The following is a 15,564-nucleotide window of genomic DNA, read 5'->3' on the forward strand; positions in this document are numbered from 1 at the left end:
TGTTGTATCAGTACTTTTTTTGTTGTATTTTTAGTAGAGACTGGGTTTCACCATGTTGGTCAGGCTGGTCTCGAACTCCCGGCCTCAAGTGATCTGCCTGCCTTGGCTTCCCAAAGTGCTGGGATTACAGGCGTGAGCCACCACGCCCAGCCTTGTTGTATCAATACTTCATTTATTTTATGGACAAATAAAAGTCCACTCTATGGATATACCACATTTTGTTTATACTCTCATTTCTTTATGGGTATTTGGGTAGTTTCCACTTTTGACTATCATGAATAGTGCTGATCTAAACATTTGTTTCAAATGCTTTTTTTTTGTATGAAACACTGCTCTGTCTGCTCCTGCACTGTGATGATTTTTTGATTAATCTCATGTAGTATTTTACTTGGTAAAATCTCATACTGTTGGTATTAGTCTGGTTCCGCCTTGCTGGAAGTTTGAAATTTTGATTCTTTGATTGATCATATGATTTGTTCATTTCAACCTTGGGTACTATGCCAATTGGTTAAATCTCCATTCTCTGTCCTCATCCATGTCAGTGATCAGTATACTGATTGCTGAGTGGTGTGGCCTCTCTGCCACATAGCTTATTGCTGTGGAGGAAAGAGAGTCTTCTCTTAGCCATTGTTCTGTGTGGAGTTGGCGGACTAACACATTTTTATATTCATATGCAATATTTTCAATTCTAAAAATCCTTATGTTTGTACCAGAACTAAGATGTCCTGGCATTATGGAATTATTCATGTCAGTTGCCTATCTCTGGTCAGGTAGTTAGTTGTGACATCCAGCAGCTCAGACTACAATTTGAATTCTGGCTCTTGTCCCACTTATTATCAGAATGACCTTTGGCAAATGACTTGAAGGTTAACTTGGGTAATTTTCTCATCTGGATAATGCGGATAGTAGAAGGACTTAACCTCATAAGGTTTTTGAGAGGACTGAGTGAAGCAGTCCCCACAATACACCATCATGTGCTGGGCATGTTGGTAAGGGCTGGATTTCAAGGATGAAAACAGAGGCCAGAGAACTTTCTGTGGCTTTCTGAATGTCAAAACTGAGACTGTGCAGATCAAGCAGAACGCTTTCTGTTCCTTCCAAGGCTTGTTCCCTTCAGGTTTCAGTTTCAGACGGAAGCGAAGTTGTTTGTGATGCCGGAGCACACACCTGCGGGAACTGTAGACTTCTTAGGAGTCCACCGGGGTTGCGTCGCATTGCTTCCACGCCTCTGTCCTCACCAGTGTTGCCAACTGTGGATTTGTGTGTGTGTGTTTATCGTTGTTGGCCATGCACCAGAAACAGAGATATCAGTCACATTTAAACTCTGCTGCCCAGGAAACTCCTGCCTACAAACCCAGCCCAGCCCTTTGAGAACCTCACCGACCAAGTGAGTGATATGTTGAGAGATGAGCATAGCCATCTTACCATTCATGTCTGTGAATTATTATTTATTCAGACTGGATCTCGTTAAGAGAACTGTGTGTAATCTTAGCATGATAATCGGATTCCACTTATCACTTGGAACTGTGACTCACTTTTGGAATTTTAAGGACGTAATTACAAAAAAAATTCTTGGTTATCTTTTAAAAAGGAGTCTGTTGTCCTTAGACTTGTTAACTCTTCAACTGCTGTTTTCCAAATCGTGGTACAAAGTTATTATTTGCAGGTATTCCCAAGTGGCCTTATAAAAACCAAAAAGGCTTCTTGCTAATTCTCTTCAGATGCTGATATAGAAATGACACTGATTTTTTTCTTTTTAGTATTTAAGAGCACCCACTAGAAGGATATTTAATATTTGTATGTAGTTTTTTTTTTCCTGTTATGTTAAGCAGAATTTCAGGACCTTGCTGTAGAGCAGCATCTCTCCATTTAAGTAATGTGTAGACCCCTTTTCAAAGGGGAAAGCACCTTGCAAGAACCCTGTGAATTGTACCAAACCCAACAAACATAAGGTAAACCTAAGGTTTACATGCAAGTCTCTTTTGATTGCCAGTTATCAGGGTTCTTGCCTGGCTTGTTGTTCATAAATGGGAATATTTTATTTTTAGATTATCATAGAATTGAAAAAAAAAATCTTCCCAAGTAGCTGGGACTACAGGCACACACCACCATGCCTGGCTAGTTTTTTTTTTTTTTTTTTTTTTTTTTTGGGGTAGAGGGATTTCCCTATGTTGAACAGGCTAGTCTTGAACTCCTAGCCTCAAGTGATCTGCCTGCCTTGACCTCCCAAAGTGCTGGGATTACAGGCGTGAGCCACCGTGCCCAGCCTTGCCATGCCTACTTTTTAATAAGGTTGTTTTTTGCTTGTTCAGTTGTTTAAATTCCTTATAGATTCTGGATATTAGATATTGGTCAGATGCATATTTGCAAATATTGTCTCCCATTCTGAAGGTTGTCTGTTTACTCTGCTGATATTTTTCTTTTGCTGTGCAGAGCCCTTTAGTTTAATTAGGTCCAGTTGTCTGTATTTGTTTTTATTGCAATTGCTTTTGAGGACTTAGTCATAAATTCTTTTCCAAGGCTGATGTTTATAATGGTGTTTCCTAGGTTTTCTTCTAGGATTCTTATAGTTCCTGATCTTACATTTAAATCTTTAATCCATCTTAATTTTCATATGTGGTGAAAGGGAGGTGTTCACTTTCATTCCGCTGCATATGGCTAGCCAGTTATCCCAGTATCATTAATTGAATAGATAATCCTTTCCCTATTGTTTATTTTTGTGGACTTTGTTGAAGATCAGATGGCTATCAATGTATGGCTTTATTTCTGGGTTCTCCATTCTGTTCCATTGGTGTATGTGTTGGTTTTTGTAATAGTACCATGCTGTTTTCGTCACTGTAGCCTTATAGCATAGTTTAAAATTAAGTAATGTGATGCATCTAACTGTGTTCTTTTTGCTTAAGATTGCTTTGGCTATTCGGGATCTTTTTTGGTTCCATATGAATTTTAGAATAGTTTTTGTTTTAATTTTGTGAAAAATGATATTGGTAGTTTGATAGGAATAGTGTTAAATCTGTACATTGCTTTGGGCAATATGGTTGTTTTAACGATATTGATTCTTCCAATCCATGAGCATGGGAGGTTTTTCCATTTGTTTGTGTCATTTGTGATTTTTTTCAGCAGTATTTCGTACTTCTTGTAGCAATCTTTCACCTGCTTGATTAGATGTATTCCTAGGTATTTTATTCTTTTTTGTGGCTATTGTAAATGTGATTGCGTTCTTGATTTGGCTGTCAGCTTGAACATTATTGGTCTATAGAAATGCTACTGGTTTTTATACATTAATTTTGTATCTCGAAACTTCATACTGAAGTTGTTTATCAGTTCCAGGAGCGTTTGTCTTTAGGGTTTTCTAGTTATACAGTCATATCAGTGAAGAGAGATAGTTTGACTTCTTTTCCTATTTGGATGCCTTTTCTTTCTTTCTCTTACCTGATTGTTCTGGCTAGGACTTTCAGTACTATATTGAATAGGAGTGTTGAAAGTGGGTGTCCCTGTCTTTTTCCTATTCTGTTTTTCATTCAATAAAAACTCAACACATACTAAGTATGGAGTGGTATATACCTTTGAAAGCATTACAGACACTACGTTTCTCTTTAACTGGGTTTGCATTCCACTGGAGACTTTCACTGCTTTGCCTCTTGCTTTAAACTCTTACCAGCCAGATATTTTCCTTTCTTGATCTACCCTCTTAAGAGTCCTGCCCATTGTCCATGATTGACAGCTTGGTTTCCTGATTGAGTGCTTTATGTGAACATGAAAATTCATAGCATCCTTAAGGGAGAAATGTAGTTGATGGGCAAAGAACAGACAACAATCAGTCTTTTCCCAAAATGAAAGCCGCCCTCTGGAGAGATCAGAGTAGGTCCTGGGGTATACACCTGGGGCCATTTCCAACACTAAAATGGGCTTTCTCTCCAGTGTATATGTGTTGATCCTCCTCCTCCTCCTCCTCTTCTTTCTCCTGATGAACACAACTTGTAGAACATAAACCAAGGATCAGGCTCTATACCAGGTGCTTTTTGCACATTACCATATTTAATCCCCGTAAGACCCCAAAAGGGAGGTACTCTTATCCCATTTAACAGATGAAGCAAATGTCTTAAAGGAAAGATGTTAGCTGTTTTAAAAGCCTTGTGGCTAGCAAGGGTCTGAGCTGTCTGATCAGAGTCTAATGGTTGCCATTAAGCAGTCTTCACCCTTTTCATGATGCAAAATGGACTTTCAGGTTTAAAGAAACGAAGTCTAACACAAACTGCAGTTATTTAAAAGGCAATGTAGTAATTTAATCAAGATCCACTTGCTTTTGGATATTTCACGTTTCTACTTCTGGTTTCTTCTTGGATCACTTTCTGAATATAATGGATCTGGAGTACAGGGCCACAGCCTTTAGAGTTTCTTTTCTCTTCCCTCAGTGTTTTAAGTGGGAAGGTGTTTGCCCATCAGAAGAGAAACTGTTGGATTGCATGGTGCCCCTTGCTGTTTGAGGTGCCTCTGAGGAACTTGGTGTGGAGATAGGAGGAGATCAGGAGAAGATTCTTCGAGCTTCGGCTAGAAGATGTCCAGGCAGGTTATCTTCTAACTACATGCAACTAGAGGCATATTTACAGAGAATAATCTGAAGCTTGACTCTTTGATCATCAACTCCTTGGAGTAGCCTGTTAGCTCTTAAATACTCTCAGTTCTAGTGAAACAAATAAAATTCCTACCTCCCCCTCCACCGTTCCTTCCTCCTCCTCTCTCCAGATTTCCTCCCCCTCCCTCCCTGAAATATATATAGAATACCCACCATCAAGCATTGTTCTTGGCTCTGGGGATGCAGCAGTGAATGGAAACAGATGAAGTCCCTGTCCTTATGGGATGTTTCTATTGGGGAACAAAGTGGAAATCTCGGGAGGGCAAGACGCCCAGCACATGGTTATCCTGTGGACTGCAGGAATAGTGAGTAGTTTGTTAAGCAATAATTATTTTTATTAACTTGGGGGAGAGAAAGTTTTCACATGTGTATTTCTCCTTGCCTTCTCTCCATGCCACCCATTTTACTGATATGTTTTTAAGGAAGAATCACCGAGTTAGTTCTGACTCTCATTTAGGTAAATGTTTCCAATTCATTTAAGGTTATCGGCTTTTGTGTTTTGTCCCACTACAGATGGGCTTGCGGTTCTGTTTAAAAGATGGGTCATCATTACATATATAGAAACCTAATCCAGGTTTAGTAGTGTCAACAGATGTCTTCATGAAATCTGATTTTAAAAAATCAATTTCTGTGGTTGATTTGGAAGGAGTGGGCCCAAATCTAGAAGCACGGACATGGGCTATCATTTCAGTGCCTTTTAGAAAAATTGCAAAGCAGGAAGTAAACCTTGCTTGCTGAGGTTTAAGGATGGATGGGTCTAATTTTGTTTTGCATTTATATTTAATGGCCTGGGTGCCTTTCCTGTGGGCTGGTGCACATTTAGCTAATGAATGCCTTCTGAGGAGACCTTGTTGGTTATATGGAGGGCACCCCCCAGCCTCCTCATCTGGAAGCCCAGAGAGAAACCTGGTGCCGTTGCCCGCAAGGCCGCTGCAGGGCTCACCTGCAGAGTTGTTTTTGTGTTGCCCACTCGCCTGGATTGTTAGTTTGTAAAAATCAAAGGACTAAGGCAGAAGCCCTGATGCTGACCCCGAGTTATTAAATTGGTTCCTCTGGCCATTTTTCTCAGCCACAGAGCTGCCCACTAGCCACGGGCCCTGACCCCGGGCTGTGGCGTATGCCTCTCTCTCCTTGGGGCCGTCAGCCTTGCAGTTTGTAAAGCCATCATTCAGTTGAGTTCAGGCTGTTGGTTCTATTTTTCTCAAGTACAGTTTGTTATTTTGCTCTGCTTTGCTGCTCATATGCGAGGACCTTTCTTGGCCAGCCTCTTGAGATCTTCTGTTCTGGTGATAGATGCTTGATTCAGGTTTGGAGAGCAGCTTAGTGTCCTCAGATAATTCTGGGAAAGCAACTGAAGAGTGATCTGGTTCTACAAGCTGGTGACTGGACCCACAATACCCAGAAGAGGTCTGCATTTTGCCCCTGGCACCGCAGAGTGAAAGGGAGGCCAGAGTTCTCTGCAGACTCCACCTGTTCTCCTTACTGCCCTTTGTAGTGAATGGACATTGACTCAAGTTTGTCTATCTACACTCTTTGGGGAGCCCCTTAAAACCCGGATTTGACTTGGAAATGAAGCTTTTGGTTATGGCTTCTGATCATGCTATATGTGGTAGAAGCTTAGTGTCTGTATTTTTAAAATTCAGACTGGCTTTTAATACTGGGTAACTAAGTCATAGATGAGGGGAAGTTGATGGAGTGATGGAAATAGACAATTGCCATTTTGCAGCCCATCAATGAATTGATGGATCTGGGCATGAGACATCGACACTTGGTAATATCCTCCAGAGACAATAAGCTGTTGTTTGCCCCTGACAGTAGAATACTTTACCTCCAAGGAAGTAGTCTTATAAAAACAAATACAGCTGATCTGTTCAAGTAACAATTTACAGTAACTACAGAGGACACGAAAACATGGTAAAACAATGTTGTTAGGGATACCATTGGCCTATTCCAGACTGACCAAAGGTCTGCTTTCTTTAACAAATAAATTACAAGAAAGGAAAAAATGATGGAATGGAAAACCTACAGATTAAAGAATTTGAGACATATCCATGAAAGTCTGTAGTCTCAGCTACCTGGGCGGCTGAAAAGGGAAGATTGCTTGACCCCACAAGTTCATTTCTAGCCTGGGAAACATAGCAAGACCCCATCTGGGGAGAGAGAGAGAGAGAAAGAGAGAGAGAGAGAGACAGAGACAGACAGACAGAGACAGACATACCAACTGATCTCCATATGTACCTTATTTAGATCCCAATTCAAATGAATTAACTAGTAAAATCTGGGCATTTGGAGATTTGAACCCTGATTGGAAATGGGGCAAAATTAGGGGAGAGTTGTTAAATTTTTCTAGGTCCAATAATAACTTTGTGTTTTTATTTTAAAAGCACCTATTGGCTGGGCGCGGTGGCTCATGCCTGTAATGCCAGCACTTTGGGAGGCCGAGGCGGTGAATCACTTGAGGTCAGGAGTTCGAGACCAGCCTGGCCAACATGATGAAACCCCCATCTCTACTAAAAATACAAAAATTAGCTGGGAATGGTGGCGCACGCCTGTAATCCCAGACAGGAGAATTGCTCTAACCAGGGAGGTAGAGGTTGCAGGTGAGCTGAAATTGCACCAGTGCACTCCAGCCTGGGTAACAGAATGAGACTCTGTCTCAAAAAAAAAAACAAAAAAGCACCCACTGTAACACAGTGAATGTATATAGAGGACAGTCAGCAAATGCTTATTGAATGGTCAGTTTGATGATATAATATTTAAGTTTAATTGGATTCTTATAGATGAACTAGGATACCCTTTTCATTCTGAGTTGACCATTTGCACCTTGTAGGAAGGAACAGGTGAGGCTTCCAAGTTTGTCCTCCTTCCTGCTCTGTGGAACCAAATCCATTATGTACACAGCCCCTACCCTAACAGAGACGATCACAATCACATTTAAATTATACAGTGCACCTACAGAGTTTCAGCAGATGTGTGAATATTAAGTTATTAATAACTAATTGGGTGCTAATTATGTGCCCTGGAGTTCTTGGAGTGATAAAGAAGTGTCACCTACTGTGTCAGGCCTCTGTCTTTTCAGCTTTGGAAAATCATTTTTGGCAGATGTGCCAAAGTTAACTTTGGAGCTTTAGGTTTTGAATATCATTTCTCACAAGTCTTATTTTATTTTTTTATGCCTTGTGAAAACTTACTGTGAAACTGATGTGACTTCCCATAAGTAAAAATTGCATGTACCGTTTTCCAAAGAGGGGGTGGCCTGTGTGTGATGATAGTGTTTCATCTCTCGGGAGATGGAAGAACTAACATTAATCCCAGGGGAGAATTTAAAGCTGCTCAAGGGAATTCAGAAGTGATTCTGAAGCCCAGTGGGTTTTTGGTATATTTTGGGAGATAACTGGTTTGGAAGGGCTTTGAACTTGGATCTTGCAAGTCTTAGCTCCATCACTAAGGATACGCATCTCGTATTTGTGCACACACGCCCCCACTGCCCCCTTTTTGTTCCATCTCTATCCGAAATAGGACTAGTTTGGCTTTTGTTAACTGGAAGAAATCATTGAGTTAGAAAGCCTGGATACCAGGTTAGGATACTAGGAATGTGATCCATGGTTTCTAAGATTTATAGAATCCTGTTAAATTTAGAAGAAGGGTTTTAATGAGATAATCATTGAAAGGCTACACTCTCCCCTTTCTGTCTCTAGTTGCTTGTAAGCTTTAGATTGCTGGAACTTTGTGCCTCCTATTTGGAACAGGCAATACACTCATTTGTCTTAAAGTCAAATCCAACAAGAAAAGAAGGTGTTGCTTTATGGTCGACATAACCCATTTGCTGCTGGAAAGTTGTTAGGACATTAGAGCTGCTTGGTTTGCTTTGTCTTTTAAAATTAGCTTCATAAATGCACACAATTGAAGAGGCTCCTGATCTTGGATATTGCTTTTCCTTCTCCCACTAAGAACATTAAAAAAATCTCAGTATTTCCAACCCAGGGTTAAAAATATAATATAAAAGGTAGAAGGGAAAACTGAAGATGAAAGTAAACAAATAGAAGGCCAGAGTTACCAAATATTGACAATGATTAACACCTGTTTGTTACTGGTCAAGCTGGCCAAAAACCCAGTGTTTGCATTTAGCCACAGAAAATAAAAGCTCTCCCAGTTGGGTTGTGATTAATAGCTTTGTCCACACCCCGCATTCCTTTTCTATGCTGTGTGTTTGCCCACCTGTTGTTTGGAACTCCTTTCTAGGTTTTGGCCTTAACTGATAGATGATTCCTGGTGGGATCCAGAGACTGTCTGAGGTTCAGGTTTCCAGCCTCCCTTGCAGCTAGTGTGTGGGCATGTGACCCGGGCTCCACCAATCACATGCATCTGTCCCAGACTTTGGATTTACTGCTAGTTTTGCCAACACAGACAGAAGAAAAGACATTTTGCCAGTTGCTACAACATCCTGTTGACAAGAATAGCAGTGGTGGTAGAGAAGCCTCGTTGCCTTAACGGGGCTAGTTCCTGAGCTCCATTATCTAGCCCACGGGTTGGCAAATTTTTTCTCTAAAGGGCCTGATAGTAGATGCTTTAGATCCTATGGACCATACAATCTTTGTTGGAATTATTGATCTTTGTTGTGGTGTTGTGAAAGCAGCCATAGACAATATGTGAGCAAATGAGCATGGATGTGTTCCAGCAAAACTTTATGTACAATAACAGGCAGTTGCCTGATTTGACTGTAGTTTGCCAATACCAGATCTAGCCTAACCAGTGATCCTGGGAGCTGAGCTACCCAAAACTTTCAGTAAATTCTGTTTCTTAGATCAGGTAGACTTGGTTTATTTTCCTTGCCACTAGGGTATTCATTCCTATTTCCAGACTTCATAATCTAACTTACTATGTGCAGAGGCCATAAAATCTTACCTGCTTTATACAGACACAAATAAGGACTCCTCCATTCAGAGAGAGTAACTCTTTTGGATAAAATATGGTTTGTTTTTGATTCTCTGCAGTAGATCATCTTTTTTTATTTTTTTGAGATGGGGTCTCACTCTGTCACCCAGGCTGGAGTGCAGTGGCGCAGTCTTGGCTCACTGCCACCTCCACCTCCTGAACTGAAGCAATCCTCCCACCTCAGCCTCCAGAGTAGCTGGGACCATGGGTCCCACCACGCCACCACGCTTGGCTAATTTTGTGTATTTTTGGTAGAGAAGAGGTTTTGCCATGTTGTCCAGGCTGGTCTCGAACTTCTGAGCTCAAGTGATAACGCCTGCCTTGGCCTCCCAAAGTCCTGGGATCAAAGGCATGAGCCACCGCTCCTGGCCAGATCATCTAATTCTTAATTGAACTGCCTTCTTTGTCCAAAACTCTTCTGGAATTACACATCTAGAAATGCTCCCATTCAAAACATTATTCCCCTAGAGGAGTTCTTTGTACCCTTTCCCCAGCCTCCCCCAATGATGCATTCTATATACTTATAGTGTAATATCAAAACCAAGAAACTGACATTATCAATTCACAGACTTTATTCAGATTTCACCAGTTTAACATGCACTTATTTGTATTTACTCAGTGGTGTTTGTGGTGTGTATGTGTATGTATAGTTTTATGCATTTTTTTCATATGTGTAGATTTGTGTGACCAGCATCACAATCTAGATACAGGACAGTTCCATCACTGCAAAGATCTCATATGCTACCCCTTGATAGCCACCCCCACATCCCTAACCTCTAGCAATTACTAACCCATTGTTATTTCGAGAATGTCATTATATAAAGGAAATCATACGGTACATAACCTTTTGGTGCTGGCTTGCTTTACTCAGTGTAGCTCCCCAGACCCATCCAAGTTGTTTGTTCCTTTTTATTCCTGAGCAGTATTCCATGGTAGGGATGTGGCAGTTTGTTTATCCGTTCATCTGTTGAAGAACATCTGGGCTTTTCCTAGTTTGGGGCTATTACAAATAAAGCTGCTTATGAACATTTGTGTACATAGTTTTTGAGTGAACCTAAGTTTTTATTTCTCTGAGATAAATGCTCAAGGGTGCCATTGCTGGGTCGTATAGTAAGTACATATTTAGTTTTATGGGAAACTGCCAGACTATTCTCCTTTACTAAGCACGTGATAACTGGAATTGGCAGTGTTTGAACAGCTCTTCCTGTCTTTCATTTTACCGTCTTTCACACCATTATCTGGATTAATTTTTAAACAAAAGAGGAATTGCAGTTTTCTTACATGCCAGATATTATACTAAGCACCATACACATACTATCTAATTTAAGCCTCATAACAACTCCCCAAAGGAGGGTCAATACCATTGTTTCTCTAAAGAAGGAAACTGAGCCACATGGTATGTGCGATTAATGAGCTAGATGATCCTGTAATTGTTCAGGTTCATCCAGCTCATTAAAAGTTATCAATTGGCCGGGCACAGTGGCTCACGCCTGTAATCCCAGCACTTTGGGAGGCCGAGGCGGGCGGATCACGAAGTCAGGAGATCGAGACCATCCTGGCTAACACAGTGAAACCCCGTCTCCACTAAAAAATACAAAAAAATTAGCCGGGCGTGGTGGCAGGCACCTGTAGTCCCAGCTACTTGGGAGGCTGAGGCAGAAGAATGGTGTGAACCTGGGAGGCGGAGCTTGCAGTGAGCTGAGATCACACCACTGCACTCCAGCCTGGGTGACAGAGTGAGACTCCGTCTCAAAAAAAAAAAAAAAAAAAAGAGTTAGCAATTCAAACTCTGACCTTGGAGCTGGTGCTGCTTTTCTGAAACCACTGAATGTTTGGTGCCCTTGATGCCTTGAGATGTTCCCTTACGAAGTGTCCTGATTGTGATTGCGGCCTGTGAGGCCCGTTATGGCTTGTCTATCTACTGACACTCCCTTGTACCCATCCGTGAATCCTCTGTCCTCTTGGGTTTTATTTTTCTGTCTTGCTTTTGATATGCCTGAAGCCCAAGACAGGCTGCAACTTCATGATAAGTGGAGGCTTCATGTTTGATTAAACCAGTCCTATGCATTGTCACCTGAGAATATCCTGACAGTGGAATTAGTAAAGGAGACTACTGCAGGGTGTTGTGGACCCCCATGGTGATGAAGACACTCTGAGATTAAAATAACATATTAGGAGATTCGTTAACATAGTTGTCCATTCGTTACCCAGGCAATCCTTGTTTCATTCATAAGGTCTCATGACTGCATCTTAGTTGGACTTAGCAGCACCTAACTTCTGCGGATTCCCTGGCATCCCTCCAGGACCCCATTCTTTCCTGCCTTGAATGCCTTCCTGTGTTTCACACATAGGCACCAAGGATCCAGGTGGAAGACACCTAGCTTGCTCCTACCAGGCTACACATTTTCACCCGAGGGGAAATGAAAACTGGGCAGCAAAAGAGAGGTTTTCTTTTGGAATTACACATCTTGAAATACCTCAGTTCCTCTGTCCTGAGACAAAGGCATTTCATTTTTTGTTGGCAGCTAAATGCAGGGTGTTTGAGTGGGGTGACCCCAGGCTGATGCACCAAGGGAACGTCTAATGCCTGCACTTCCCAGGCTTTCTGCTGCAGAACACACACTCATTTGGCTGCCATCTGTAATACAGTCAGAGAGAGAGGGCAGACATTTTTCTATTAGGTTCTATTACCTTGTATTGGAAGAATAATGGCATGTTGCTTGAATGTTTCCCAAGAGAATGTTTTCTGTGCTCCGTGTATATTTCAAACTCCAAATAAGAAAAGTAATGAGGGTTGGGGGCTGCTGGTGAGGCAATCTCCACTTTAAAGATTCTGATCTTTGTTGAAGCAATTATTTATTTACATGAAAAAATAATGCCTTTTCCTTGAGCTGTCTCAGGAAATCCAAAAGTGAAGAAGCAAATAGACGTTTCATATAGTATAGCAGTGTCAAAGAACAGTCATATGTGAGTTTATTACCAAGGTTAAAAAACCTAGTGTTAACTTTGGGTTTGTCTAAGTTTGTTTTTCATTGTTACACGAGTATGCCGGAGACTGGTTAATTTATTTTACTTCCTCCCTCCCTCCCTCCCTTTTCCCTTTTCACTTCCCTCCCTCCCTTCTTTCCCTCCCTCCTTCCTTCCTTTTTCTATTTTCTTTTAAGAGATGAGGTCTTACAGTATTGCCTAGGCTGGTCCTGAACTCCTGGGCTCAAGTGATCCTCCCACCTCAGCCTGCTAAAGTACTAGGATTACAGGCATGAGCCCCTGTGCCTGGCTTTGGTAATTTATAAACAATATAAATTTATTTCTCACAGTTCTGGAGGCTGGGAAGTCCAAGATTTAGGTGCCAGCAGGTTCAGCTGTCTGGTGAGGGTTTTTCTCTGCTTCCAAGGTGGCACCTTATTGATGCATCCTCTAAGGAAGATATGCTGTGACCTCTCATGCAGAAGTGGAAAAACAAGTGAACCAAACACTATCTGAAGACTCTTTTATATGGTTCTTAATCTCATTAACAAGGGAGGAGCCATCATGGCCTAATTGCCTCGTAAAGATCCCGATTCTTAATACCATCACATTGACAACACCTACGTTTTGGAGGAGACATGCAGGCTTCAAATCACAGCAGGGCTAAATCAGCATAATATGACAACTTGGATTTATTGTGTTGAGTATAATGCAAGGCACTTTGCTTATATTACATTGGCTCCTCTTAGAAATAGGTTGTCGTATAGATGCACAGACTGACACTTAAAGTTTTAGTTACTTGCTCAAGATCATGTGGCTGATGACAGGGCTTGAAATTGGTAAAGCCTTGGTTTGGGGTTTGAATCCTGCCTTATGTCCCTGAGCTCATTATTTCAACAGACTTGCTATAATCTGCTGGTGGAAAGCAGACCATCAAGAACATCTTTTACAAATGGTAGCCTGAAGGTCCTAATAAACAGGGCACTGAGTTTTACTGCTAAACCTAATAAGGGGAGTCTCTGGTTTCTCTCGATTTCTCCTTGTCCTTAATTCTTCCACCTTTTCTTCCCAGAAGGAAAAATAAAACCCATAAGCACCAGGGATTAAAAAGCCTGGTACTTTTTTTCCCCTGTACAAATGCAGTGATACATATTGAATGTGTGAAAACCAGAGCTGTACACGGCTGCTGAGAAATTATCTTTTAATACATAAGGGTTACAAAACCAAATCAAGGAAGCCAAGGGTGGGGGCACCATGTACCTTGATCCTAAAAATGTTGAATGCCAGCGAGGTATTACAGAATCTACCATTGCCACTCACCTAGGAACACCAGTGGGAATGTGTAGTACAAGATTTTTGTGGAATGAGACTCATGTTCGAAGAACACAGTGACGAGTTCCGCACAAAACTGTTGAGAAGCAGCCAAAAAAGAGCTCATAAGAGATTGAGTCCCGGCCAGGAGAAGGGAAACTTGGCACCTGATTTTATTAGGATGCAATAGTTATCCAACCATTGGATGTGCCTGCGGTTTTCACAGGGAAGACCGTAGACCTCAGGATGATAACTGAGTAAGAAAGAAGTTTTGTGTTTGAGCCCATGTGTTTCTAACCAGAGTGCTCTTTTCCATGGAATAAATGTTTCCTAACACTAGTGTGAAGATTTAATCAAATACACACTTCCTCATCAAACGCACAGTCAACTTTTATCTTAAAATTTATTAATGTGATGGTTTTCATTTTCAAATGTAAGCATTTTCAAACACTTAATTGTTTAACTCTCGATTTGCAAAATGAGTTTTTTGGTGAAATGTGTCATTTGAGGGTCTTTTACCACTGTTTGGTTTTATAGCTTGCTTTTCTTGTTTACTTTATGATGTAAACTAATTTTTACTACCAATAAAAGTTTTAGGAATCCTATTTACATGTGAACAATGATTCAGCAATTTGAACCTATATTTTTTGCTGTGGAGTTGTCTAGTAAAAGTTTATATGACTCTGCTGACTCTAATGGCTCCGATAAATTACACATTTATCTGTGTGTATGTTTATATTTTTTTCCTCATTGCCTACACTTCTAGAACCCTGTTCATCAACCTCAATTACACGATGTATTTGGACACTCTTTCTCTTTTTTTTTTTTTTAAAGGAAAAACATAATTTCTATATACTACCAGATGGGTGTGTTGGCTGTAAGATAAAAATCCCAAAATACTTAAGAGACCATCTGGTATCTTGGTAGGGTTTAGTTGATTAAGTTCTTGTGTATTGATTTCAGTCTGAGCAGAGGTAATCTTATCCCTTTGGATCTCTACTTAAAGAAAAAAGTTGTCGTTGACATTTTGTCCCATTGTTAATAATCTTTTTTTTTTTTAAGTTTCACAAGAAAATACTAGTGATAGATGATAGCAGCCATTGATTTATATGCTCACACAGTTGCTCATGACTAGTGGTTGTTTATCCTGAACGGGCCTGATGAAGCCTTAGGGCTAGACTTAGTTCATGAGACACAGATTTCTTTAGAAGATGATAATGGGTCCATGTGGGAATTGACCTGGATTCATTGGTGTTGAGCTTGAAGCTAAGCAATTTCCGTGCACCATGTTGGAAGTTTTCTGGGTGTTACTTTGTAGGCCACCAGTGAATACTGCACCTCTGGTGTACCTTGGAGAGTGTCAGAAGCTTTATATATATTGATCCATGTAAGTCATGTAAGAATCAAATAGCCAGGTGTGGTGGCTCACGCCTGGAATCCCAGCACTTTGGGAGGCCGAGGTAGGTGGATCACTTGAGGTCAGGAATTTAAGACCAGCCTGGCCAACCTGGCGAAACCCCGTCTCTACTAAAAATACAAAACTTAGCCGGGCATGGTGACACACACCTGTAGTCCCAGTTATTCGGGAGGCTGAGGCAGGAGAATCACTTGAACCTGGGAGGCTGAGGTTGTAGTGAGTAGAGATCACACCACTGCACTCCAGCCTGGGCTACACAGCGAGACTTCATCTCAATATATATATAAAAGTAGGCCAG

The 15,564-nt window shown here is 41.1% G+C and overlaps 1 protein-coding gene across 5 annotated transcripts in view; it reads left to right on the forward strand.

The window, feature by feature from the left end:
• Window positions 1–15,564, forward strand: part of PTPRG (protein tyrosine phosphatase receptor type G) — a 736,039-nt gene that overhangs the window by 74,899 nt on the left and 645,576 nt on the right. The window lies entirely within an intron of this gene.

The sequence above is a fragment of the Homo sapiens genome, chromosome 3 (assembly GCF_000001405.40).
Source record: "Homo sapiens chromosome 3, GRCh38.p14 Primary Assembly".
Taxonomy (NCBI): Eukaryota; Metazoa; Chordata; class Mammalia; order Primates; family Hominidae; genus Homo; species Homo sapiens.